Here is a 27,271-nt window from a genome sequence, read left to right on the forward strand (position 1 = left end):
TCGGGGAGATGAGAATGGAAAACGGCCTAATTCAAGGAGGAGCCAGGTACTGCCTAAAACGCGTCTTGGCCCCCTTCCAGGAGTGCACATCGAACGGAAAAAATTACTCCAACTCTCTCCGTAGGAGAACATCTGCCAGCTGGCCGACCAAAGTAGCTGGTTGCTAAGAAATCACACCGGGTGACATCACCTGATCACTTACTACAGGCAAGACATGGCCAGGGTCAGAGTTCAAAACAGTTTCTGGAAATCTTTCCAGCGAAGCCCCTTTTCCGTGCAGGGATGGGAGGATGGGAAAGTATCTTGATGGGTACCCACCTGTGACCCCCTGCCCTATGACAGAGGTACTATTACAGATAGGGAAACTGAGGCCCCGAGGGGGAAGGTCACTGCTAGAGGGTGGTAGAAGAGGGGTTCCAGCTTCTTCTGAGCATCGAGGTGCTTCCCGGGATACCAGGTTCTGAGCCCCGCTGTGTGCACCCCTCTCATGCAGAAAGAGGTCAACAGAGAAGTCCAGCGCATGGTAAAGACCAGCGTGACCACAGGCTGCAGCTTTTCCACATGGACAATGCGGTTTCTATGGAGTCCAGGGGCTACGGTCCCATCTCCACGGCATTAAATAAAGAGACGAGGAAGGTGGCGAAACAGCATAGGAGAGTAACCTCCTCTCAAGCCAAGGCACCACTCCACAGGGGTATCTAGCAGCACCAAGTCTCACCAAAGACAGAAGCCCCAGAAGTGAGGTCCCCTGGGAGCCCTGGGCTATGCCAGGAGCAGGAGTGGGTGCAGGAAGGACCCAGCCCACCCCCACAAGAAACGCCCATGCCGGGGAATCTGCCCACACTGCAACAAGCATCCCAGGTCCTGACCTTGACAGGGATGCAGGGCGTGCATTCGGCCAGCCTGTGGTCTTACCCGGCTTTCTCCCCAGAACTGCTTCTGTGTTTCTGAGTATCTTTCCTTCCCAGAAAAAAACGATGCTTTACTGTTATTTCTGATTACAAAGATAACTGCGACTGATGTCAAAGATACAAGCCATACAGAAAAGTATAAAGAAAAATAGTAAAAAACACCTGAAATCTCACTACCAGAGCTTGGGGCTGTGACCACTTTGATGAGCGCGATCCCGCACATCCTCTCCTGCGTTTACGGACACGCGCAGCAATCGCCGTGTGCGAATGGGATCCTGCGCCACACGCTGATTTGTAACCTTTCTACACTTTGTTCCACTCGCCCCTGGGCCATGGTCATCTCTTCCAGGGATCGTTTTGAGAGTCTGCCTTTAAAGTTTCGTCTGGAGGGAAATCACACGGGTCCACAACTCCTAGTTAAATGTGAACAGGCCCCAGTAGTGAATTGGGGAGGGGTGGGGGTGGGGTTTCTATCTTAGAAAAGGTTTCCTCGCTTTGCAAATGGGTTCACCCTGGGAGTCTTTGCATTAAGGAGATTCTCCCTCCCGCGAACGCATGTGTCTCTGGAGGTGCAATTCAGGGGGCCACCTGCTTCAGCATTGCTGCCATCCACTCTCCCCACATCCCAGTCCATCCGTGCAGATGGAAAGGGCCATGTGGTGGAGAGTTGGGGCTGACCTTGAAGGGAAGGCTGCCGTCAGCCCATACCTTGCCGAACAGCCCATCTCTGGCTGTCACTCACACCTGTGCAGGCAAGTGCAAGCTCACCTATCATGCTGCTGCTCGGGGTGAGTCACATCGGGGCTGCTTCCTTGCACCCAGTGATCTGGGGAAAAGTTTAGGAAATTCCTACTCTGGGAATTCTCAGTTGGCGGCTTCCTCTCCTCTTTCTCCTCCACCAATACCCCTTCCTAGGCACAAAATTGTGAGGCTTCCTGGGTTTTGTCACTAACATTTAAATATGGGGCTTCAAGTCATCACCCTCCAGGGGCCAAGTCAGGGGTTTCCAAGAAGTCCCTGCATTCCTCTGTCCTGGGGGATCCCAGGTGGGGGAAGTGGGCTGGGTGTTTCTGGGAAGCAGACTCCTCTGGGAGGTACCTTCCTCTCTTTCTGCCAACTGCCAGCACTGAGTCACAGAAGACGTGTCAGCCAGACACAGGGAGGAGGGCCAGAGCCCCCAGGGTCAGCCAGACGCTCCTCTCCAGAAGAGAGGCGCAGGGGCATTTAAGGCCATCTGTGCACTCACAAAACACTCACGGAGACCCTGCAACGTGCCAGGGACTGTCCCAGAGCAAAACCGGGAATGAGGTGGACAGATCCTCTCAGGGAGTTTACCCTCTAGTGGGGAAAAAGACAGAAGATGCATAAATAGAGAAATAAAATCATTGCTGTGAGTGATCAGCGCATCCAAGGAAATAAAATAATTGACGTGACAGGGGCTGGAAGACGCCAGCTCCAGCCAGAGTGGTGAGGGAGGGAGAGCCTCACTGAGGAAGCAGCGTGAGCCAAGCTGCAGGGAACCAGACGGTGATGGTGACAGTGATGGGGAGCAGCAAGCACAAAGGAACCTGAGGCATGGAGCATCGTGCACTCCAAGAACCAAGCGGAGGCCAGTGTGTCTACAGCACAGAGCTGAGAGACAGAGGCCCGACGGCGACGAAAGGCCCGAGGAAGGCCCAGGACACGCCATCAAATCCTGAAATCAGAAGGTGCTGGGAGAGCCCCTCAAGCGGCCCAGAGTCCAGTGCACACAACTCCATTCAAGGCACACATGGGAACTCCAGACTGAAGATAGACTGCAGGTGCTCATGTCACATACAAGACTGTTTGACAGCCTCCGTACTTTAAAATAACTCAGCTTGGTCAAATCTTTTATTTTTGTTGTTGTTGTATGAGACAGGGTCTCATTCTGCTACCCAGGCTGGAGTGCAGTGGTGCTATCACAGCTCACTGCAGCCTCCAACTCCTGGGCTCAAGTGATCCTCCCACCTCAGCCTCCCAAGCACCACCACACCTGGCTAGTTTTTTTCAAAAATCTGTTGTAGAGATGAAGTCTTACTATGTTGCCCAAGCTGGTCTCCAACTCCTGGCCACAAGCAATCCTCCCACCTTGTAATCCTAGCACTTTGGGAGGCAGAGATGGGAGCCCACATGAGCCACCGTGCCCAGCCTAAATTGGTCAAATCTTATTGGGAAACATTTCTAACATGAGAGTTCTGAGTTAGCAATATGTACCCAGCTCCATGCAAAGTGCCTTGGCCTGGGCACTGGCTGCAAGGTCAGACCTGGGTTCAAATCCCATCATGACCTCAGCCAGAACTAGTCTTCTGATTTATTAAAGAGTAAATGATCTTCAAACCCATGCTGGGCTTCTGAGTGTCGGGAGAGGAAGAAGCAGTACCACCCATGCATGGGCTCTGCTCCCCAAAATAATGATGGGATCAGCCTTGCCAACTCAGCAACTATGACAGAGAGTGGAGCTTGGTGTTGTCTGCCCCAGAGGTGCACTGGAGCCACAGTCTGTTTTTCTTCCTTCCAAGGCTAAGGTTCAGTGGTTCAGAACTCAAACTCCCACCCAGGCAGGACAGTGAAGAGGCCCCCACAGCCCAGGGAGGGCAAGGTCTTGGCCAAAACCCCACAGCAAGGAGGGAGCAAATGCAGAGCAGCAGCTCATCTCAGGACCCCTAGTGCCCACCCCAGGCTCTCCTGGCCCGTATCAAAGTGCTCACCCCCAAATCCAGCTCCTGCAGAAGAAAGCAGAATTGTGTGGCCACATTTCCCCCTGCCTGATATTCACTACCTCAGGAATCAAAGAATGCGGGCCACTGTGCCCGTGACGTGGCCCAGGAAGGCATTGCAAACAGGTGGCCTGATGCCTCGCCTGGCTTCCATGGCCCCCAGGCAAGAACTGCACACCGGAATTGGGAGAGGGGGTGCACACCAGTGGCCCTCCCCCACCCCACATGGCTTGGGCCTGGGGTCTTCAACATCCCTTCCTGACGGTGTCCCAGCCACAGAAACCCTTGCATAACCACCTGGGCATCCACAGCACCAGCCATTTGACCCAGTAGGGGTCTGGGGGAGCAAGGCTGGTCCCCCTTTCTGACCATAGCAACATCACCAGAGAACTCTAGCCCTGGATATCTCTCCAAGCCTCCTGTCCTTTTCAAAGGGGAGCCCAGGGAGGCCAGGGAGACTGTCTAGGGACCACAGGAGGGTGGCCCATAGAGCAAGCAGGCTTGCTCCAGGAGGTCACAGAGCACAGAACAGACCCCACGGGCTGATCAGGAGGAGAAAAAACCTGCACAAATTCATCGGGACAACTGAGGGCATGGGCTTGACCTTCTACTGACTGGAGATGCATCCCCGTGTGACCCTAGGTTAATTACTTAACCTCTCTGAACCTCCATTTCTTCATCTGTAAAATGGGAGGTTGCTGTGGAGCTCATTCAAGGTAACAGAGAGGGTAGCATGAGCCTCACATGTCCTCACCCACTCAACAAGTCAGGACTGCGGGGCTGCTGTGTGCCAGGCAATGTCCTGGGCTGGGAACACAGCAGTCAACCGCAGAGACAAAATCCACTAGGCAGCAAGGAATATAATCATCAGAAAATCGACCAGGCACAGTGGCTCACGCCTGTAATCCCAGCACTTTGGGAGGCTGAGGCAGGTGGATCACTTGAGGGCAAGAGTTCAACACCAGTCTGGCCAGCATGGTGAAGCCCCATCTCTACTAAAAATACAAAAATTAGCCAGGCGTGGTGGCGTGAGCCTGTAGTCCCAGCTACTTGGGAGACTGAGGCAGGAGAATCACTTGAACCCGGGAGGCAGAGGTTGCAGTGAGCCAAGATCATGCCACTGCACTCCATCCTGGGCAACAGAGCAAGACTCTGTCTCAAAGCAAAATAATAATAATCAGAAAATCTCAGGGGGTGATAAATGCAAGGCAAGTATTGAAACAAAGGTGATAGGAGGCTAGGCGCGGTGGCTCACACCTATAATACTAGCACTTTGCGAAGCTGAGGTGGGAGGATTGCTTGAGCCCAGGAGTTTAAGACCAGCCTGGGCAACATAGCAAGACCCTGTCTACAGAAAAAAAAAAAAAAATTAGCCAGGCGTGGTGATGTGCACCTGTAGTCCCAGCTACTTGGAAGGCTAAAGCAGGAGGACTACTTGATCCCAGGAGTTAGAGGCTGCAGCGAGCTGTGACTGCACCACTGCACTCCAGCCTGGGCAACAGAGTAAGACCCTATTTAAAAAAAAAAAAAAAACAATAAAAGGTGTTAGGACAGGAACTGTTGAAAAGCAAAGAGGCAGCTTCAGCTCTGGCTATCAAAAAAGGCCTCTCTGGAGAAAGGACATTTGAGCAAACACTTGAATGGCACGAGGAAGCCAGGCATTTGGCTGGGCATGGTGGTTCATGCCTGTAATCCCAGCACTTTGGGAGGCCAAGGCGGGCGGATCACCTGAGGTCAGGAGTTCGAGACCAGCCTGGCCAACATGGCAAAACCCCGTCTCTACTAAAAGTACAAAAATTAGCTGGGAATGGTGGCGGGCGCCTGTAATCCCAGCTACTCCAGAGGCTGAGGCAGGAGAATCACTTGAACACGGGAGGAGAAGGGTGCAGAGAGCTGAGATTGCGCCACTACACTCCAGCCTGGGCGACAAGAGCAAGACTCCGTCAAAAAAAAAAAAAAAAGCCAGGCATTAAAAGGTGGAGGAAGAATAGTTTGTTTATGCAAAGGCCCCAACCCAAGGCCAGGTCAGGTGGGGTTTCATAAAGAAACGGGGAGAAGTTTGGCTTTAGTAACTCCTCCTTGTTGAGCAAGGCAGTGGCATTGCCCCCACCTAACCTGCCCTCTCTCTACACACTTTTAGTTTTCAAAGCATTCATCATTGCATTTATCAGTTCCCTCCTGCATTCAATCTGGCGTAAGCTCCAAGAGGGCAGGAAACCTCCATCCAGGGTCATTGATTAATCCCCGATGCCTAGCACAGTGCCTGGTCCAGAAGAGATTCTCAATAATGTTTGTTTAATTAAGTAATTATAGGCACTCAGTAAGTGCTCAGTAAATGTGATCATCAGGGCTGCCAATAGGGATCAAGCTGCTTTGGAATGAGATGAGACTCCCATCCCTGGAGGCATCCAAGCAGGACCTAGAAGAAGACATGCTAGGGACCCTCAGACCCAGAAGAGGCTTCCAGGTCCTCTTCCACTATGAAAGCTGTCAGGTCTGCCCTATGCCCAGTGCAAGGGATGGAGGGGCAGCTCGGGCTGCCTCAGGGACAGACAGCGTCTCAGCAGCCGTAACACATGTGCACCAAGCCGGAGAAGCCGCCTGCATTTCTCAATCACTAGAGATGTATTTGCACCTCAAAGTGCGGCCTCCTGCACTGCTTAATGAGGAAAGCAATCATTATGGGGGGCTTGCGGGCCTGGGGTCGGAAGGAAAGAAAAAACTTTTTTTGCCAACATTGTGTACAGAGTGCCAGGCAGAATGGACTTAAATCCTCCCTCAAAGGGCCCCCTGGGCAGGGCACTTCCTGCAGACAATTGGAACTTGGCCTGTAGGGTTCAACTTCCTTTGTGTTAACTAATTTCTGACTCAGGGTTTTCAGCTATTTCTTTCTAGAACAATACACTCACTGCAACAGTCCGCCGGTGCGGCTATCTTCCGCGGTGGCAGCGGCACGCTCTCCCCTGCCTCCCTCCTCAGCAGGAGGGGAGGGAGGTGTGAAAAGCCATCGAAAAGAGGTGGCTGGGAGCGGTCAAGCCCTGTCCCCCCACAAGTGCAAGTCTCATTTTCAGCTCTCTGGAGCCAGAATGCAAGACAGGACCCCAGGAGGGGTCTCGGAGCCCCCAGGATTTCTGGGCAAGCAAATAACAAAGCAGGCGGGAAAAGAGGGCACAGCCCCCAGAAGAAAACCTTCCTCCCTCGGTCATTAACCGAGCCCACCAGAACCCTCCCGCCTCCTCGCCCGCTTTCCCGTTTCTGTAATCTTTTTCTAATCTGCTTGCCGCTTCCTGCTTCCTCCAAACCACCTTAATTGGGAACTCTTTAGTTCACAAGGAAAGTTCATTTCTGCTCTCTGAGGACACCTATCGAGGGTAAGCCAGGCTCTTCATCATAATTCTTACCAGACATGGCTAATAATGACCCTCTTTCGCTAATGAAAAAAACACACACATGCACACATTGTGGCTGCGGTAATTAAGCCTGTGACGAGTTGAGTTGGAGAGAAATTAGATTTATTTACACGCTGTTCTGTTGCTGATGAAGCACAAGCTATCGGGAAGCTTTCTCATTAACCCTCGTTTACAGGGTGTGTGCTCTTTTGTGCCTCTACGAACCCTCTGTAAATTGTAGTTGGTTAAAAAATAATAATAATTAGCCATTCTTAGAGTGGAGTTTTCTCCTATAACTCTGTTAATCCTCGAGTTACACTGCCCAGATGCTGATGGTAATAAAATGCCCAAAGGACTTCAGGTCTGAGCTGCAGCCACATCAATGCATCAGCCAACAAGTGTTGCCGGAATGCCTGCCACCCGAAGACCCTGTGCTAGGGACCCGGTGGAGTCAGAGACGGCCCTGCCTCGGAGGAGATCATGAAATCTTCCTACTGGAAAGGAACTGGGTGAGTGGCTGATTGAGGCAGAAAGAATGATGCAGGGGCCAGACTGAAAGCCAGGCTGAGTCCAAGGTTCAGGTAGAAGAAATAGGGAGCCACTGGAGGTTTGTGAGTGAGGGAGGGGAGGCAAATGCAGTGTTTAAGCAAAATTAGATGACAGCCCACAGAGATGACTGGAAGGTTTCAGAGACAAGGGTTTTCAAAACGGACTTGCTGTTTTGAATCCTGGGGGCAGCCTGCATCAGCCCAGGCCGCCTATCACCAGTTACGACAGCCTGTGAGGTCTAAGAGGCTCTAAGTGTGTGGCCCACCACTATCTTAATGACAGCTCTCTCTTTGGAGGGACTGTCATTTTATTAAACACACATACAGACATTAAAATGCTTCCCAATTTCAGAAATGTTAGGCAATGACAAAATACACATCTTAGAATGAAAACAGCATGAACATCAAGCGCTTGGAAAACAGCCTTTTGGAAGGCCAGTCCCCGCCACACTGATACGGAATTGGACCCCTCCCCGGAGTTCCAACACTGGCCTAGACAAAGAGCACCCGGACTGCCACAGATGACTCCATGGCACCTTTCAGGGGCATCTTCCCACCAAATGCGTGTCTCGAAAGGTCCCTGCCCATCCCTTAAGCTTGGACCCAGGGAAGCTTCAAGTTGGAAGGGACCTAAGAGACCACCTCATCCAGCCCAGCTCTCACCTGCATGGAAAGGAGGAGGTGGCAACCATCACCACCTCCCAGGGCACACGGGCAAAAAGGCACGGGTCATGGGTGGGCTGAGAACAGGGGGAAGCACCCATGATGAGTTCGGACACTTGTGAGCACCCCTGAGGACAAGTCCATTGCGAGATGGCGGGGGGAAGCCAGCATGCGCGGGGAGGGGCAGACATGAACAGGCCTCAGAACCCATGTCCACATGGCTGCATAATTCCTTGTTTTCTTCTAGAGTGTGTGGCACTTTTAAAAGCCAAAGTCCTGCCAAAAGACAGAAACCCCACCTAACTATAGTGAGAAGTCCCATTTTGTGTCACCAACACACAATAGACAACTGGCCCTGTGCAAGTGTTTTTGTTTTTCTTATAAATTACTTGTCACGATGCACAATGACAGTTATTTCTTTTCCATTACGCTGTGCAATGTTGGGACTGAATCCAACACTCCTGTGTCCTCCACAACAAAGACAAAAAAATAGACTTTTAATCAACGCTTATTTATAAATGAGGCCAAGAATTTCCATTCTCATTTTTTCCTGTTTCCATGTGCTATTGGAGATTCCATAGGTTCGTGATGCTCTTCCTGACTCAGCTTAAAACTGGCTACACCGACATCTCCTACAGTCTGAACTTCTAACAAAGGGAGCCTTCAGTAATGAGTCATAAAACCACTATCCTGTTCCCATGTAGAGAAGATTAGGTGAATAAGGAGGCCAGCCCCCTGCTCCTACCAACAGCAAGGCTTGATCAGCCACCTGCTTGAAGTTAAGTTTCCAGGACATGAGGAGCACCTGCATGGTGAGGACTGCAGAATGCTGTTGACCCAGCATTTGAAAATCACCATAGCCCTCTCCCATAGAACTCACCTGTCAGTAACTTCTAAAATTCAACACATCCCTCAGGCTATTGTGGACACCCAAACCAAGCCAGACACGTGACCACCTGCCTCCAAATCCCCCTTGGGTGGGGTGAGGAGCCCGGCTCAGCAGGAAATACACCCCTGTCATCAATTCTGGTGAAGAAAGGCCTCAAAGACAAACACCCCACGTGCCCTGGACAGCCCCAACAGCAAACTCAGGTTTCCCTGCCGTGGCAGGTGGGAGATTAATTTCCCCCAGTGTACTGAAGGGGAAAGAAAGGGAAAGAAAGAATGACGCACAGGATCTCCTTTCCCCTCATGTTAATCCTCCCCTGACCCGCCCTCGGCTCCTCCCCTCCACACTGTTGGTCCCCCTGCCTGTGGTCACCCTGGTTCAGGACTGCGGTACCTCCTCCCCAGGTGACTGTAAAACATCCCTGGCATCTCCAGCCTCTCATCAAACTCTGAGTGAACACCTGCTAAATGGTAGGCACTTCCTGCCTCGCCTTCACCTGCCAAAGGTAGAAAATGGTTTACCCGGGAGCCTAATCACCAGAAGCTTCCAGATCAGGAATTGTTAGAAAGGAATTTGTTTTTTTGAGACAGGGTCTCGCTCTGTCACCGAGGCTGGAGTGCAGTGGCATGATCTTAGCTCACTACAACCTCCGCCTCCTGGGTTCATGCGATTCTCCTGCCTCGGCCTCCCGAGTAGCTGGGATTATAGGCACCCGCCACCATGCCTGGCTAATCTTTGTATTTTTAATAGAGACAGGGTTTCGTCATGTTGGCCAGGCTGGTCTGGAACTCCTGGACTCAAGTGATCCACCCCCCTCAGCCTCCCAAAGTATTGGGATTACAGGGGTGAGCCACTGCGCCTGACCAAAAGAATTTTTAAAATAATCAGCTGGGCATGGTGACTCACACCTGTAATTCCAGCTACTTGGAGGGCTAAGTAGGGAGAATCGCTTGAAGCCAGGACTTCAAGACCAACCTGAACCACATAGTAAGACCCCATCTCTACAAAAATTTTAAAAAATATCCAGGCATGGTGGCATGCACCTGCAGTCCCAGCTACTAGGGAGGCTGAGATGAGAGGATCGCTTGAGTCTAGGAGTTTGAAGCTGCAGTGAGCTATGATGGCACCACTGCACTCCCAGCCTGGGCGACAGAGTGGTCTCCAAAAAAAGTAAAATAATCATCACTACAAAAAAAAATTACTCCCTCATGTTCCTTAAAGAATGGCACTCCAAGTCTAAATTATAGTGGCAAGGGGTACACACGTGAGTGACAGAACTTTAAAACAAAGCAAGGGTGTGATCACCATAAAAGTCAAGCTAGTGATTCTTTCTGGAAGGAGAAACAGGGATGGGGAACAAGGATAAGCCTTCCGAAGTAGCTTGCAAAGTTCTATTTCTAGACCTGGGAAGTGGTTTCAATGGCGTTCACCTTATAAAAATTCACTAAGTTCTACATTGACTTTGTGGGTTTCTAGATCTGTGTTTCATTTTGCAATAAAACCATATTTTTAAAAAAATAATAAAAGGAAAGCTTGCTGGCTGGGCATGGTGGCTGTGGCTCACGCCTGTAATCCCAGCACCTTGGGAGGCCAAGACGGGCAGATCACGAGGCCAGGAGTTCGAGACCATCTTGGCCAACACGGTGAAACCCCATCTCTACTAAAAATACAAAAAATCAGCTGGGTGTGTTGGTGCACACCTGTAATTCCAGCTACTCGGGAGGCTGGGGCAGGAGAATCGCTTGAACCCGGGAGGCGGAGGTTGCGGTGAGCCAAGATCGAGCCACTGCACTCCAGCCTGGGTGACAGGGCGAGACGCCACCTCAGAAAAAAAAAAAAGGAAAGCTTGCTATCCCCTTGCCTAGGTGCAATGCAACCCAAGAGCCAGCGAATGGCTGCAGGGTGACATCTAGCCAGCCCAGGGTCAACTTACAGATAGGTGCTACAGACCCTAACAGACAACCCTGGCGGGACCACAGCAGCCTCAGGAGCAGCACATACTCATGAAAGTTCTCAGCCAGGAGTGCGCTTTGCAGGGCAATGGCTGTTGAAAAGCATGGAGTTGCACTTCTGCAAATCCAGACACCCTCTGAAACTTCCTGCTTTTAACCCCTGTGACAGCTTAGAGTTAAGATCCCAAAACTCTGGAAGTGTTGTAAGTTTGGAATGTGTTGGGTGCCTAACATTCCAAGTGTAAAGTCCTTTTTTGTGTAATTCCACAACCTCCTTCAGACGTCACAGGAGGTGGCCCTGTCTGTGCAGATGAGACTAGGGTCCCTGCTGCACCTGCCCTTTGGCCCTGGTTCTCTTTAGAGAGATTGCGAGTTGTGGGTGTTCCCCTGGGCTGTAGCTCCAAGGGCCAGGATCACTTTAGACTTGCTTACACTGTAACCCCAGTGCCTAGTGTTTGCTTAGTGAATGGGTGAATGGATGGGTAGATCAATGGGTGGATGGGTGGGTGGGGTGGGTAGATGGATGGATTAATGACTGAATGGACAGATGAGTGGATGAATGGGTGGATGGATTGATGAATGGATGGATGCGTGGGTGGATGAATGGGTGGATGGGTGGGTGGGGTGGGTAGATGGATTAATGAATGGATGGATGGATGGATGAGGGGATGAATGGGTAGATGAGCTGATGAATGGCTGAATGGGTGGGTGGGGTGGGTAGATGGATGGATTAATGAATGGATGGATGAATGGGTGGATGGGTTGATGAATGGATGGATGGGTGGATGGGTGGGTGGGTGGGGTGGGTAGATGTATGGATTAATGAATGGATGGATGGATGAACTAATGAATAAATTTGTCACCCTTTCACAAGAGCTTTCCTCTCCAGCATATCCTCTAGGGGATTAGGAATCATATTTGCCTTACTTGCCACGGACCCATCAGCACCTGAGTCAGGGTTCGGCACACAGTAGGCCTCCAATATATTTTTATAAATGAATGGGTGAAGAAAAACCAACTGTGCTAGGGATAGAGGATACGAAGATGACCAAGACATGGTCCTGCCGCCAAGGACCTCACCATTTAGCCAGGAATGGAGAAACACACATCAGACAATGTGATGAGGGCAAGCAGCACAAGATAGGAGCACAGACAGAACTCGAACTGAGCAGAGAATGAGGGAGGGCTTCCCAGAGGAGGGGACCTGGACCTGACTCTTGATTGAAAAGCCAGAAAGTCTCCCCCTGAGACTCAGGACAGCACCCCTAGGCGGTGGTTGGGGTCCCCTCCACCCCACTGACTTCTCCCCCGACCATCTGCTATATCCATTGCTTCCAAGAGTCATCTCCCCAAATTCCCCCTGCCATGCCGTCACCACCACCTCCCTCCAACACACACACACACACACACACGTACACACACGCATACATGCATGCACATGAACACACATATGCATATACGCACACACGCACACATATATACACATAAACACATGCACACGTACACACACATGCACACACATACATGCACACACACACACATGCACACACACACCCTCTGAGAAGGCCCTTTGCCTCCCAAACACAGTGTGACCTGAGAGAGGTTCAGCCCAGGTTACTTGCCCTCTCTGTGACCTGGGTCTCCCCAGCAATAAAGGGAGACAATGACAATGTCTACCTCATAGGACTGCTGGTGGTTAAATGTGAGAAACCATGAAAGGGTCCTGCACAACACTGGGCACCATAGCTGCCAATAGCTCCATTCTGACTGCCATTGCTACGACTGAGGAGGCCATACTACAGAGGAAAGCAAACCTGGCCTGTGCCAGCCTGCTCCCATGCCACGGCAGGGCCTTCACCCTACACACAGATCCCCAGCGAGCCTGCTCAAATGCAGATTCTGCTTCAGCAGGTCTGGGAAGAAGCCCAAGATTGTGCGTTACTAGAAGCTCCCAGTAAGGAGAACGACGCTGGTCCCAGGACCACGCTCTGAGTAGCAAAGACTCAGCCCAACTGAACTCATTACCTCACCTGCAAAACAGGAGCCATAAAAACCACCTCCCAGGGCTGTTGTAAAGAGTAAATGCAGCAACATGCGTGCGTATGGGAGCCCTCCTGCACCCAGATAGGCACAGAGTGGGTGCTGAGAAAATGGCAACTCCTTCCTCCATTTCCTCCCTCCTCTTCTCCCACTAACCAGCTAATTCTGAATACTATTGACCTCTGCACAAACATCCAAGGTACAGTAACAGTGTTCAAATAAGGCTTAATAAGGGAATGAATACATGAACGAATCCTTTAAAAAGAGAGAGAGACAGGGTCTCATTCTATTGCTCAGGCTGGAATGCAGTGGCACGATCACAGCTCACTGCAGCCTCCAACTCCTGGACTCAAGTGATCCTCCCACCTCAGCCTCCCAACTAGCTAGGACTACAGGAGCATGGCCAGTTAATTTTTTAAAAATAATTGTAGATAAGATGTCTCACTATGTTGCCCAGGATGGTCTCAAACTCCTGGCCTCAAGTGATCCTCCCACCTCAGCATCCCAAAGTGCTGGGATTACAGGCATGAGCCATTACACCCAGCCCAAATCCATATTTAAAAGCTGCTCAGCAAAGGCGTTGAGGCCCAGCAGGCTGAGCCTCCGTGCCCAGACACCTAGAGAAGCATTATGTTCAGAACTGCCAGCCCTTTCGGAAAATGCCTGTGAATCTCAATCCCCACACCAGGTTGTATTAGTCATGGTGCACGTCCCCCAGCGCCCCAGAAGGAAGTGGGCCTCCACTGAGGGCCTAAGCTCAGGCAGTGTCCACCTTTCCCCATGTCTTCCCTCCATCTCTGGCTATAGGAGCCCATGATGCCCAGACAGAATGCCCCACACAGAAGCCTGTGGCCAGCCCTTCGCAGGGCACAAAGACCCCGAGTGAGCTTCCCAACCTCTCTGTGAGGCTGGTGAGCCAGGAATGACCATGTCTGTGTCTAGACAAGAGGACTAATGTTCATGAGGTCAAGCAATTTGATGAGGTCAGGCCAGGAAGAAGAAAAGATAGGCATCCTGCACCTCATTCTAGAACAATTTCCCCAGCATAAGAAGGCCCAAGACTTACTTTACAAGTGCAGAGGGGAGGACTGGAGGGCTGGCAGCTGTCACTCAGGAGGTGCAAGGACACTCCAGACTCTCCCACTACCTTCCGCTCTCGGGAACGGCCTAGGTGGGCCCTTTGACTCTTACCTTCAACACCCCATCTGAAGGCTGACTGAGCCCAGGCAACCAGCCCAACGCTTGGTCTTGGAATATCTTATTCTAATAATTGAGGGGGAAATAAGCCAAGTAAAAAGCCCACAACCTCCACATCACTGAAATGAAAATGTTTAATCTCATCAGTTCTTTTCACGTCCCTTTCATGATCATAGCTCACTGCAGCCTCGGACTCCTGGACTCAAGCAATCCTCTCACCTCAGCCTCCTGAGTAGCTGGGATTACAGGCACACACCACCATGCCTGGCTAATTTCTGTATTTTTAGTAGAGATGGGGTCTTGCTACGTCACCCAGGCTAGTCTCAAACTCCTGGCCTCAAGAGAGCCTCCTTCCTCAGCCTCCCAAAGCACTGGGATTACAGGCGTGAGTCACTGTGCCCAGCATCCCTTTCTTATTCAGGTTTAACTCACAAATCTTAAGCAAACTGGGTGACAGCAGGTATTTTTGTTGTTGTTGTTCTTTGTACTCTGGGTTTTTTGGTTTTTGTTTTTGTTTTGTTTTGTTTTGTTTTTGAGACAGGGTCTCACTCTGTTGCCCAGGCTGGAGTGCAGTGGAACAATCATGGCTCACTGCAGCCTCTACCTCCCAGGCTCACATAATCCACCCACCTCAGCCTCCCGACTGGGACTACAGGTACATGCCACCACACCTGGCTAATTTTTGTATTTTTTCTAGACATGGGGTTTTGCCTTGCTGGACAGCAAGGTTTTACATAAATGAGCACACAAATCAAGGTATGGGACATTCCCTGCACCCCAGTAGGTTCCCACATGTCCCTCCAAAGGCAGTCACTTCTTCGCCTCTATCACAGACATCCACTTTGCCCACTCCCCAGCGTCACAGGAACAGACACGTGCACCCCACTTCTCCGCTGCCTCTGCTTCCTTTGCTCAACATGATGTCTACACGAGTCACCCACACTTGGGGGTGGCAACTGGTTGTTCATCTTTATTGCTGCGTTCATGCCTTCCTGTTAATTTTTGTTTTCCAAAGGGTCAGTTTCCACCCAATCCTTTTGCCCCATCCATGTCACCATGAACAAACAGAAGACCACAGATCAGATCAGCCCGTTCCTTCCTTCCCACCATTTGCTGGGTAGCTCGTTTAAGGTTTAAAGCATTTCCATCACCATGTCTGGCAACCAGACACCACTCAGCGGAGAGCTACCTCTCCTCTGACGGACCTTTGTGCAGAAAGTCTCACGGCTGAGGCAGCCTGCTGGCCCCACGGGCAGGAGGAGACAGGAAAGGGGCTGTGTCTGTGAGTCACCCACTCCCACAGCCAAACTGCAAGAGGGAGGAGGTCGATGTACTTTTCTCAGGCCAAAGAGAGGATGTGTGTGGGGAAGATGGATGTTGGCAAGAGCCCCCAACCCCACAGAGGACCCCTCGCTCCCATGCCCTGCTGCGGGGAACATGAGAGCCACTCCCAGATACGCAGCCTCTCACCACCAGTCCCCTCCAGCATAAGAGAAGACCATGCTGCACTGGGTCCCACTCACCCCACCATTCCTGAACAAATTAAAGCAACCCAGTGTCCATCAACAGAGGAAGGGATAAACAAAAAGTGGGCTAGACACACAATGGACTATGATTCAGCCTTAAAAAAGAAGGCGGGCTGGGACTGAGCTCATGAGGGCCTGCAGAGTGGAGACTTAAATCCAAGGTCAGGGCAAAACATCTGGAGTTCATTGCCAGGACTGTGATGTTACAGAAAAGGACCGTGAAAGGTGCGTGCGGGACCCAACACAGAATCGTGGCCATGAATGGGCTCGCTGAGGACATTCGACATCAGCGGTGCCATGAGAAGCCATGCCACCAGCAACAGGGGAAAGCTACGGAACCTGCTGGCAGATCTACAGCATGGAGATGGCTCCAAGGATCAACCTCTTGGTGGAAAAGAACTGTCTGGATCGGCGGGGCTGCTGAGCCTGTGGATACGACACCCACCTCTTTTTTCTTTTCTTTTTTTTTCTTTTTTGAGATAGAGTCTTACTCTGTCCCCCAGGCTGGAGTGTAGTGGCACGATCTCGGCCCACTACAACCTCCGTCTCCCAGGTTCAAGCAATTCTCCTGCCTCAGCCTCCCCCAGTAGCTGGGATTACAGGTGTGCGCCACCACGCCCAGCTAATTTTTTTTTTTTTTTTGTATTTTTAGTAGAGACGCGGTTTCACCATGTTGGCCAGGCTGGGCTCAAACTCCTGACCTCAAGTGATTTGCCCGCCTCATCTCCCAAAGTGCTGGGATTACAGCCACCACCCCCAGCCAAGTGCCTCCACCTCTTTTCTTCCTGCAACCCCATTCTTGGTTACCTTTCTCTACCTTCACCTCAATCCCATGTATGCAAAAAGGCTGCCACATAGAGAAGTAACCCCATGAGCCAGCAATGAGCCTTCTCTTTTATTAAGTGAAAGAAAAAACTGAGTAGAACAGTGTTTGCCAGGGCCTGGGAAAGGGCAATGGGGAGTTTGTGTTTTAATGGGAACATCGTTTCATTTTGGGAAGATGAAAACTTTCCGAAGGTGGATGGTGGTGGTAGCTGCACTGAAAGGTGAATGTACTGTAACGCCACTGAACTGCACACATAAATGGTTAAAATGATAAATTTCATGTGACATATATTTTACTATAATAAAAACAAATTTTCCTGGGTACAGTGGCTCAGGACTGTAATCCCAGCACTTTGGGAGGCCAAGGCAGGAGGATTTCTTGATCCCAGGAGTTTGAGACGAGCCTGGGCAACATAGTGAGACCTCATCTCCACACACACACACACACAAATATTAATTAGCTGGACATTGTAGCATGCACCTGGAGTCCCAGTTACTTGGGAAGCTGAGGCAGGAGAATCACTTGAGGCCAGGAAGTCGAGGCTGCAGTTTGCCATGATCGCGCCACTGCACTCCAGCCTGGACAACAGAACGAGACCCTACCTTGAAAAATAAAAAAATAAGTCAAAGAAAAGGGAGGAAATTCTAATATATGCTACAAGCTGGATAAACCTTGAGGACATTATGCTAAGGGAAACAAGCCAGGCACAAAAAGAAAAATACTGTATGTCTCCACTCACATGAGGGCCTGGCTGCAGTAGTCAAATTCATACAGATAGACAGTAGAATAGTGGCTGTCAGGGCCTAGGCGACGGGGAATGGGGAGTGAGTGTTTAATGAGAATAGAGTTTCACCTGGGAAAATGAAAAGAACTCTAGAGATGGATGGTGGAGGCAGCTGCACGAGAATGTGAATGTACCTAATGCTGCTGAACTGTGCACTTAAAATGGTTATGATAGTAAATTTTATCTTATGTATTTTACCACAATTTCTAAAAAGAAAATTTTAATGGAGGAAAACAGTAGAATACTGAGAAAATGTATAGCAGGCAGATGCAAGAAAATTCAAAGCAGAAGTCAGGATATTAACATAGGACCAAATGCAATTCAAGGGAAATATCATTAAATAAGACAAGGTTGTTTCATGTTTTTTTAAGTGAAGGTTTGCAGCTCCAGCGAGCCTAAAGGAGGAGCCAGGCACAGCGGATGAGGAAATCTCCTGCCCAAGAAGTGACAGGAAGGCTCCTCTCCCTGCTCACACAGGCTCCCAACATCACTCCCAGGAAAACAAGGTTTGTGGCAGGCAAGAAAACGCAGGTGCTTCCGTCAGCTAGAGGGAGACCTGATGCCACAGCACTGAGAGACCCTCCTTCAGACATCCTCACCCACGCTTTTTCCAAGCCTGTGACCTTCAGAGCAAGTCCCAGGCTCTGGGGGACTCCCAGTCCTTTGGCTTCTTATAAAACAAAGTTTCAGATCCCGGGAGGCCCAGGAAACTCAAAACACTACAGGCCTGAGCCTGAGCCTGAGCCGTGGGGAAGCTGCTAGCCTCTAACTGAGGCCCAGTCTGAAACCAACAGGCAGATTCTCTGCATCTCGGCAATAAAAGCAACAGCTTCAGCAGTGCAGACCGAGCCTCGGTCCCTCAGAGGCCAGGCTCATCACAGCACTATCTCCTTTCTCACTTCCCGGCTGTGCTATAAACTAGGACCTCTGATCCCATTTTACAGATGAGGAAACTGACGCTCACAAGTCAAGTACTAAGGTTAAAGTCCCAAGTAGGAGGTCCTGGGATGCAAACTTATGACCTGGCAAACTCCAGAACCCCAGAACCCAATTCTTTTTTTTTCTTTTCTTTCTTTCTTTTTTTTTTTTAGAGGCAGGGTCTCACTCTGTTGCCCAAGCTGTAGTGCAGTGGTGCAAACACAGCTCACTCACTGCAGTCTTGAACTCCTGGGCTCAAGCAGTCCTCCTACACCACAGGTGTGTGCCACTCGTGCACAGATAATTTTTTTATTTTTTTTGTAGAGATGGGGTCTCGCTATGCTGCCCAGGCTGGTCTCAAACAGCTGCCCTCAAGTTATCCTCCTGCATCGGCCTCCCAAAGTGCGGGGCTTACAGGCCACCGTGCCTGGCCCCAGAACCCAATTCTTAACCATTAGACTGTGATGGTCTTCTGAGACATTCAAACAACATGGGGGACTTCAAAGCCTGGAGACCAGGGAAGGCCGGGGAAAGCAGAACTCGAAGTGGGCCAAGGCACCTCCATCTTTGTTCCCAGCCAAGAGGCTGCATCAGGTACAAAAAGACCAAACTATCCCTTAGCCATCATCACACTGATTCATATGAACCATTCTGAGATTCCACAGCACTGGGATCTAGGAATCAATTTGATCCAACAGCCCATGGAGCGCTGTTCATTGTCACTGACATCTAATTAGATGTCATTCACTGTCATCCACAACTGATAAAAAAGGAAACTAGTGGAATGATCAGAGAGGGGCATGCGCAGTCAGAAGTCACACAGCAAGTTCCCACTGAGTTAGGCCTCATCCTTTAATCCCAGGGAGAGTCAGACCCCACCAGGCACCCCAAGAACATGCCCTCAAACACAGCATCGAGGACAACATTCCAGCAGGCACCAGGACACAGAAGGAATCCTCTGAAGTCCACGCATCCTTCCAGCCAGGCCAATACGCACTGTCTGCCTGCCAGCCTGACACTTGGGCCTTTGTATTTTATTGCTAATTAATTTGGATGGAGATGTCTTTAAAACCAGGCTTACGTCGGGTCCTCCCCACTGTCTGTGAACCAATTTCATTACAACAGAAACCGTGTTGCCAAAATGAGAAATCCCCTCCTTTTCAGGCCTGTGCCCTTGAAGGCATCTTATTAGAAAAGACCATTTCTTAATTAACATTTTTGATCTTTAATCCATTACACATCCCTCTAATCCTGTACGGAGGTGCGGCTGGCCCACTTCCGCAGGCTGGCTCTGGGCTGCACGAGGCTGGCAATTTCAGCGCTGAGGGCTCGCGCACAGCTGGACTCTGCCGTGGACAGTCTGCAGCTCCCAGACACCACCTCTGCTCCAGCCATGGGTACGTCCCTGAGCGGGAGCCGGGAACGGGGGCGCGGCGCGGACACCCCCGGATGGGCCAGTCTGCAGACGAGAGTTCATTTCATTAACCCGTGAGCCCCAACTCTTCTCGGCCCAGAATGGTTTCAAGCAAAGGCTGTTTTAGCAGATCCGGCTCCCGCAAAGCATGAGAGCCGCTAGGCTGGGCTTCCCTTCCACACGTCTCCTGCAACCTGGCCACATCTAAACGAAGAGCCGGTGTCATCAAGGTCACGGCACATGTACTCCCACGCCATCGCCTGCTTTGGAAAGCAGTGGACCTGCCTGGTGACCCTGTCCTTCCTGGAAGATTTTCTTCATAGGGTTCTGGGGACCTGCCCGCTCCCAGTTTTCCTCCTTCCTCCCTGACACCTTTCTCCATCTCCTCAGTCTCTCCTCATCATCCCATCCTTCAACGTCGATGTCCCAACCTTCAATGCCGATGTCCCAACCTGCAATGTCAACGTGGCCCTAGACCTCAGCTCCTCTGTATTCAGTCTATGCTCACCCCCCAGTGGGTGCATCTGTCCCAGCCACACACTCATGGCACCCAAAACACATCTTGGTCCCATCCTCCCCCGATTGCCAGAACACACGTTCAAGTACCCCCTCAACATCTCACGGGCATCTCAAGCTTATCATGGACAAGCCGAACTTTTGAGCCACACCATCCACACCGAGCTGCCCTACGCCCTGACAACTTCTCCTAGCACCCTGCATCTCAGTGAGCACAGCCCCAGCCACCAGCTGCCCAGGCCAAAAACCTTGCAGGCTTCCTCAGCTCCTCTCCTTTTCTCATGCCCAACATCCAATCCAGAGACAAACTCTTTTCAACCTACCTCCAAAAAGAAACTTGGGCACATGCCTGTAATCCCAGCACTTTGGGAGGCCGAGGCGGGTGGATCACCTGAGGTCAGGAGTTCGAGACCTGCCTGGCCCACATGGCAAAACCCCATCTCTACTAAAAATAAAAAATTAGCCGGGCGTGGTGGTGGGCACCTGTAATCCCAGCTACTCGGGAGGCTGAGGCAGGAGAATCACTTGAACCCGGGAGGTGGAGGTTGCAGTGAGCCGAGATCGCGCCAATGCACTCCAGCCTGGGCAACAGAATGAGACTCTGTCTCAAAAAAAAAAAGAAAAAAAGAAAAGAAAAAGAAAGAAAGAAAAGGCAAGAAAAGAAAAAAGAAACTCAGAATCTGACCTCTGCTTACCTCCTGACCTTGCTCCCAACCCCATAAGCTTGCACCTGGATGAGTACTTGGTCAGCCCCGACCATCTCTTCCCCACACACAACTAGAGGGACCTCTTCCAGATATAAACCTGATCACGCCACTGCCCTGTGCAAAGCCCTCCCTGGTTCCCCATCAACTCAGAAGAAAAGCCAAGGCACCCACTAAGGCTCCAGGCCTGAAATGAGACACTTCTGCCTGCTCCCCTCGACAATCTCCCAACCTCACCTCCTTCCTTTCTGCTCCGTCTTTCCCCTCTCTCCCCCTCTCATCTCCCTGACCTCACGCTCCCCCCACCACCTCATTTCACACCCCCGTCTCCCTCCCTCATCTCCAAGCCCACCTCTCCCTCCTCTGCCTGGCACTTGCTCTCCTCCAGGCACAGTGAAGTCCCTTCTGTCCCACAGTGGGGAACGCCTGGGACACTGCTTCCGCTGCTGTGCATGGCTCTAACGCCCCCTCCTTGGTACAGAGGCCTCTCTGACCACCCCAACACAGCCGGCCCTCTCCTCCTCACCTCCCACCACTCTATCTATCTGGTCACCCTGCTGGCCACCCCTAGTGAAAGCATGTGGTGCATTTTTATTCATTGATTCATTTTTTACTTTTCTAGTGCCATCTCCCCACAAGACTGTGAGCTCTGAGCACAGCAGAGACTTTGTCAGTTCTGTTCCTGGATGTTCACCAGCACATGGTAGGTGCTCAATAATATCTGTGACTGAAAGAATGAATAAAAGAATGAACGAATGAATGAATGAATGAATGGGCCCTCATGGATCCTGCCAGTGGTGCAGGCTCATAACCATCACAGCCCTTCAAAGAGAGGTCTTGCAACAACAGCACCGAGGCTCAGCCAGCAGCAATGGAAAAAGTGGTTAGACATTAAGTAGAACTTCCTGGTGCTAGAAGTGCTGAGAAACTGTCCATCCATGAGTAAATGTATAGTGTGAGCCTGGTGCTAGATTACTGGGGTTAGGGGGAGTAGGGGAGGGAGAGAACCTGCTCCACGGTGGGAAGGAGACGAAGCCTATGAATGGCTGAGGAAAAGGAACAAGCCAGCATGTGGTCGTCATAGGCTCTGAAGGGCAGGATAGGGGTTCATGGAAAGGACAGGCCCCCCCAGAAGACTCACGTGCAAAGGGTTTGTGGAAGGCAGGGACAGCGGCTGGGCCTTGGAAGACTGCCACTTTGGAGTAGGTGGGAAAGGGGAGAGAGGGTGCTCTCGGAGGGGCACAAGGCATAGGGGCCAAGATGCAGACGAAGGACAAAGTGCGGGCCTACAAGAGATCATCTCCGGGCCCTACTACATCACCCACCAACGTGGCTCTCCCAGCCAACTGCCCCAGTGAAGCCTCTGTTGCTTCCACCTGGCCCAGGGCACTAAGACTTCCCAAAGTTGTTGGTGGCCTCTGAATCCAGCCAGCCACCCCACAGGAGCCTCCCCACGGCAGCAGGAGGCCATGGCTTCCAGCCCCCACCTTCCCTCCCTCGCACCAGAGCTTGGAGGGGTGCTGGATGCTGGAGGAGTCGGGGCCAAGGGACGGAGGAGCAGAGAAGCCAATCTTCCCCTCTGCCAAGGCCCAAGGCACCTCCAGGTCAGGCCCCGGGAAGTGGGCTGAGAGGTGTTGTTCAGGAGTAAGACTAAGCATAACACCACCGATGGAGACTGGTATCATTTGGCTGTGTCCTGTGTCCCCACCCAAATCTCATCTTGAATTTCTTTTTTTTTTTTCTTTTTTTTTTTTTTTTTTTTGAGAAGGAGTCTCACTCTCTCACTCTGTCACCCAGGCTGGAGTGCAATGGTGTGATCTCAGCTCACTGCAACCTCCACCTCTCAGGTTCAAGTAATTCTCCTGCCTCAGCCTCCTGAGAGTAGCTGGGATTACAGGCATGCACCACCAAACCTGGCTAATTTTTGTATTTTTTGTAGAGACAGGGTTTCACCATGGTGGCCGGGCTGGTCTTGAACTCCTGACCTCAAGTGATCCTCCTGCCTCAGCCTCCCAAAATGCTGGGATTACGGGCATGAGCCACCAAGTACAGCCTCATCTTGAATTGTAGTTCCCAAAATTCCTATGTGTTGTGGGAGGGACCCTGTTGGAGATAATTGAATCATGGGGGCAGTTTCCCCCATACTGTTCTCATGGTAGTGAGTAAATCTCACAAGATCTGATGATTTTATAAGGGGTGTGTCCCCCTTTGCTTGGCTCTCATTCTGTCTTGCCTGACACCATGTAAGACGTGCCTTTGCTCTTCCTTTGCCTTTCACCATGATTATGAGGCCTCCCAGCCATGTGGAACTGTAAGGCCATTAAACCTCTTTTTCTTTATAAATTACCCAGTCTTGGGTATTTCTTCACAGCAGTATGAAAATGGACTCACACAGAGAAAATTCAGCTCCCACATACCCTCACCAGGGTTCTCCCAAGAACTAGAGCCTTAGCCAGGGTTCTCCCAAGAACTAGAGTCAAGAGGATCCACATATGGATATATGGAGAAGTGTTATGAGGGCCTGGATCACACAGATGTGTTATGAGGGCCTGGATCATACAAAAGAGATGTGTTATGAGGGCCTGGATCACACAGGTATAGAAGCTGGAAACATCCCACCCTGTGTCATCTGCAAGCTGGAAGCCCAGGAAAGCCGATGCTGCAGTTCATGTCCAAATCCCAAGGCCTGAAACCCAGGGGAGCTAATGTTGTCAGTCCCAGTCCCAGGCTGAAGGCGCAAGAAACAGGAGTGCCGACGTCCAAGGGCAGGAGAAGACGGATGGCCCAGCTCAAACAAAGAGAACAAATTCACCCTTCTTTTGCCTTTTCATTCTATCCGGACCATCAGTGGACTGGATGATGCCAGCCTGCACCGGTGAGAGCCGTCTGCTTTATTCAGTCCAGCCATCAAAATGCTCATCTCTTCCCGAAATACCTGCACAGTCACACTCTGAAATCATGTTTCACCAGCTGTCTGGGCAGCCCTTAGCCCAGTCATATTGACACAGAATTGGCCATCACACCTGCCCTGACACATTGGTCCAAGCATCCTTGGTGAACCCGTGGGTCAGGCACAGGCTCACCCCTGTTGTCCCAGCTTCGGGGGCAAGGGAGTGCCAGGTTCTAAAGTTAGTCTATGAGGCAAATGTGTCTTAGAGTCAAAGTTATTCCCCAAAACTCTTTCCTCTCCCCTAAGATACAACTGCTGTGGCTTGAGATACATCCATGGAGAATGGTTTGGTCCATACATCAAGCATGTGGGATGAAAATACATCTTAAAACCCCAGAGTCAAATTTACCTGCCCCACAAGGGGCCACAGAGACCAACACCCGAGGGAACAGCAGATTCTCACCCACATCACAGGTTGTATTAGTCCATTCTCACACTGCTATGAAGAAATATTTGAGACTGGGTAGTTTATAAAGAAAGAGGTTTATTGACTCACAGTTCCACATGGCTGGGGAGGCCTCAGAAAATGTATAATCATAGCAGAAGGCAAAGGAGAAGCAGGCACCTTCTTCACAGGGTGGCAGGATGGAGTGAGTGCTGAGCGAAGGGGGAAGCCCCTTATAAAACCATCAGATTGGCTGGGCACTGTGGCTCATGCCTATAATCCCAGCACTTTGGGAGGCCTAGGCGAGTGGATCACCTGAGGTCAGGAGTTCGAGACCAGCCTGGCCAACATGGCAAAACCCCATCTCTATTAAAAGTACAAAAATTAGCCAGACATGGTGGTGGGTGCCTGTAATCCCAGCTACTCGGGAGTCTGAGGCAGGAGAATCGCTTGAACCCAGGAGGCGAAAATTGCAGTGAGCCGAGATGCCACCATTGCACTCCAGCCTGGGTGACAGAGCAAGACTCCATCTCACAAAAAAAAAACAAAAAGCAAACAAAAAAAGCCATCAGATTTTGTGAGAACTCACTCACTGTCACGAGAACAGCACGGGGGAGACTGCCCTCATGATTCAATTATCTCCACCTGTTCCACCTGACACATGGGGATTTGGGGGATTACAATTCAAGAGATTTGGGTGGGGACACAGTGCCTAACCACATCGCAGGTTCCCTGAGTAAGCCAGCTCCTGTTGACTGCAATTGCCAATCCCTTTACACTGTTATTGTCCTCATTTTTTGGCAAATGTGCCTATCTATGTTGAAGGAAGTTAAATGATAAATAATGACCTGTACATAGGCATATGTTGTTGTCAGCAAAGTAAAGGGTGAGTGGAATCTGTGCTATAGTGCAGCTCTGCCACAAACTTGCTGTGTGACATTGGGCAAGATGCCTAGCCTCTCTGAGCCTCAATTTCCACCTATGAAATACAAGAATAATGATAATACCAATGGTCAAAGTGCGCCCGCAAGGACTCAGTGAGGCAATGCCTATGGAAATGCCTGCTTGAGGGAGGCAAGGAGGCAGAGTGACAACCACATGGGCCTTGGGGACAGTGAGCTGAGTCCAAATCCTGGCCCAGCCATTTACCAACTGGCTGGCCCCAAGTCTCTGCAAGAGCATGCAAGGAATGCCAGCACAGACATGCACGAGCTCAAGGGCAGAACCACAGGAGCCTACAACAGTCAGCTCCCAAAGCGAAGCCACACTGTGCAGCTATGGCCCTATCTGAGCTGTGGCCGTCCCTGATGGGTGAGTCCTACGCAGCTCTTTCCCAGGCTCCTTGGGGTCCTCAGGCCCTGTGGCTTTGCAGAAGTCAGGGACTGTGGCTGGAATCCCAGGCTGGCCACCTCTCTTTGCTTCCTCTTTCCACGTTTGGAGAAGGCATTTCCTCCCCTTCCAGCCCTGGGCCAGTGGGTCAGGTTTCCACCCAGATGGAAAGTCCCACCCAGGGCCCCCAGAGGACAGCTCACCATGGAAACTCCACAGGGCACCCGCCAGACACGGAGTAAGTGGCCACTGGCAGGCCTAACTGGGGCAGGCTCCCAGTCCTGCCCACCAGGAGGGGGAGGTGGGCAGGAGAGGGAGAGGGGGCTCCAGCCAGACTTTAGATCTCAGACACAGAACAACGTTCCTACACACGCAGAGCAAAAAGTGGGTGATCGTGCGTGCATGCAGGTGTATGCATGTGTGTGAGCATGCCCTGAGCCCTCTACGCATTCTGAGCCTCAGTTTCCCTAACTGCACCCCTGTTGGAGGCTGGATTGGACTCAGATAAGATGAGTAAATGCAATCATCCAGTAAGAAGTAAGCAACAGGTGGGTGGGCTCTGCCAGATGAAGACCCCCAGGCCTATCGGAATAAACCACAGCCAAATGACAGTCTGGGCAAGGGGAGGAGGGGACACCGTGAGTGAGGTGCCTCCCATGGTGTTCAGTTCAAAGGAGAAGCACATAAACAGAGCTTCCCAAACTGTGTTCCAAGATTCCGGGCTTAGGGATAGGTGGTAGTCAAAAAAAGGGATGAAGGACAGATTCTGAGCCCAAGAGTTTTAAGAACCCTCTCTATGACTCAAAGCATCCACAGGCATGTTGAGGGCCCTTGGAGATCCTGCCTTAAAGAAACCCATTCAATTGCACTTAACCAGGCACTTAGGAAAGTTACCCCAGCAGCTGCCCCACCAGCCCCCAGACGCAGCCCAGCAAAGGCAGCATTGCCTCCGCCCAGCTCCCTCCAGGCTGTACTGCATGGAACTCCAGGGTTGTGTGGTGCACTGAGGCACGGAGCATTTTTCCAGGGTCAATTGAAGAAGGAACTCTAAGAAAGATGTTTCTGCATCGTGTGCCAAATTGTTACTGAGATGGTTCCTGCTGTTTGTCCATTGATTAATGAGGATCCACAGAATAAATTCCTCAGCATTCCAAGCCAGGGGGAAAACACTGGTCTGTCCCAAGCTCTTACATAATACAGAAGCAGCTTTGATTCTATTTCTCTTTGGGCCTTGGCTGCCAGGAGGCTCAAAGGCATCCTGACCCTTCCCTTAGGTTTTGACATAATTAGTCTCTTCAACTATTATTTGAGCTCCCCACTGACCCACAGGCCACCTCGACAGCCTTTCATTAGTAATCATCACAGTTAGCACTTATTGGGGACATGCTGTGTGCCAGGCACCATGCTGGACACATGTCATGTACCCTCTCACTTGTCCTTATAATGGTGCCACAAGGTAGGGGCTTTGTTATTCCCATTCTACAGATCACAAAACTGAGCTCTGGGAAGGTGCAATCACTGAGTCAAGCCCATTCTCACAGTGAATACACTTAATTTGTGCTGTGTGTGTTCACCTGCCCACTGCTGCCTCC

General features: G+C 51.0%; 1 protein-coding gene and 1 pseudogene across 11 annotated transcripts in view, besides 4 other annotated features; one reads left to right on the top strand and one right to left on the bottom strand.

Annotated features, from left to right (window-relative positions):
- ZNF423 (zinc finger protein 423) overlaps positions 1 to 27,271 on the bottom strand; it is a 371,756-nt gene that overhangs the window by 260,912 nt on the left and 83,573 nt on the right. The gene's annotated exons all lie outside the window — the stretch shown is intronic.
- Positions 5,517 to 6,175: an enhancer, noted in NCBI's record as "H3K27ac-H3K4me1 hESC enhancer chr16:49787863-49788521 (GRCh37/hg19 assembly coordinates)". NCBI's record gives its function as "activates a minimal SCP1, AML or CMV promoter by ChIP-STARR-seq in naive H9 embryonic stem cells {active_cell/tissue: H9 hESC(naive)}" and the evidence as "EXISTENCE:reporter gene assay evidence [ECO:0000049][PMID:30033119]".
- Positions 6,176 to 6,834: an enhancer, noted in NCBI's record as "OCT4-NANOG-H3K27ac-H3K4me1 hESC enhancer chr16:49788522-49789180 (GRCh37/hg19 assembly coordinates)". NCBI's record gives its function as "activates a minimal SCP1, AML or CMV promoter by ChIP-STARR-seq in naive and primed H9 embryonic stem cells {active_cell/tissue: H9 hESC(naive and primed)}" and the evidence as "EXISTENCE:reporter gene assay evidence [ECO:0000049][PMID:30033119]".
- Positions 16,018 to 16,277, top strand: MRPS21P8 (mitochondrial ribosomal protein S21 pseudogene 8; annotated as a pseudogene).
- Positions 20,097 to 20,973: an enhancer, noted in NCBI's record as "H3K4me1 hESC enhancer chr16:49802443-49803319 (GRCh37/hg19 assembly coordinates)". NCBI's record gives its function as "activates a minimal SCP1, AML or CMV promoter by ChIP-STARR-seq in primed H9 embryonic stem cells {active_cell/tissue: H9 hESC(primed)}" and the evidence as "EXISTENCE:reporter gene assay evidence [ECO:0000049][PMID:30033119]".
- Positions 25,551 to 26,062: an enhancer, noted in NCBI's record as "H3K27ac-H3K4me1 hESC enhancer chr16:49807897-49808408 (GRCh37/hg19 assembly coordinates)". NCBI's record gives its function as "activates a minimal SCP1, AML or CMV promoter by ChIP-STARR-seq in naive H9 embryonic stem cells {active_cell/tissue: H9 hESC(naive)}" and the evidence as "EXISTENCE:reporter gene assay evidence [ECO:0000049][PMID:30033119]".

The sequence above is a fragment of the Homo sapiens genome, chromosome 16 (assembly GCF_000001405.40).
Source record: "Homo sapiens chromosome 16, GRCh38.p14 Primary Assembly".
NCBI classification, from domain to species: Eukaryota; Metazoa; Chordata; class Mammalia; order Primates; family Hominidae; genus Homo; species Homo sapiens.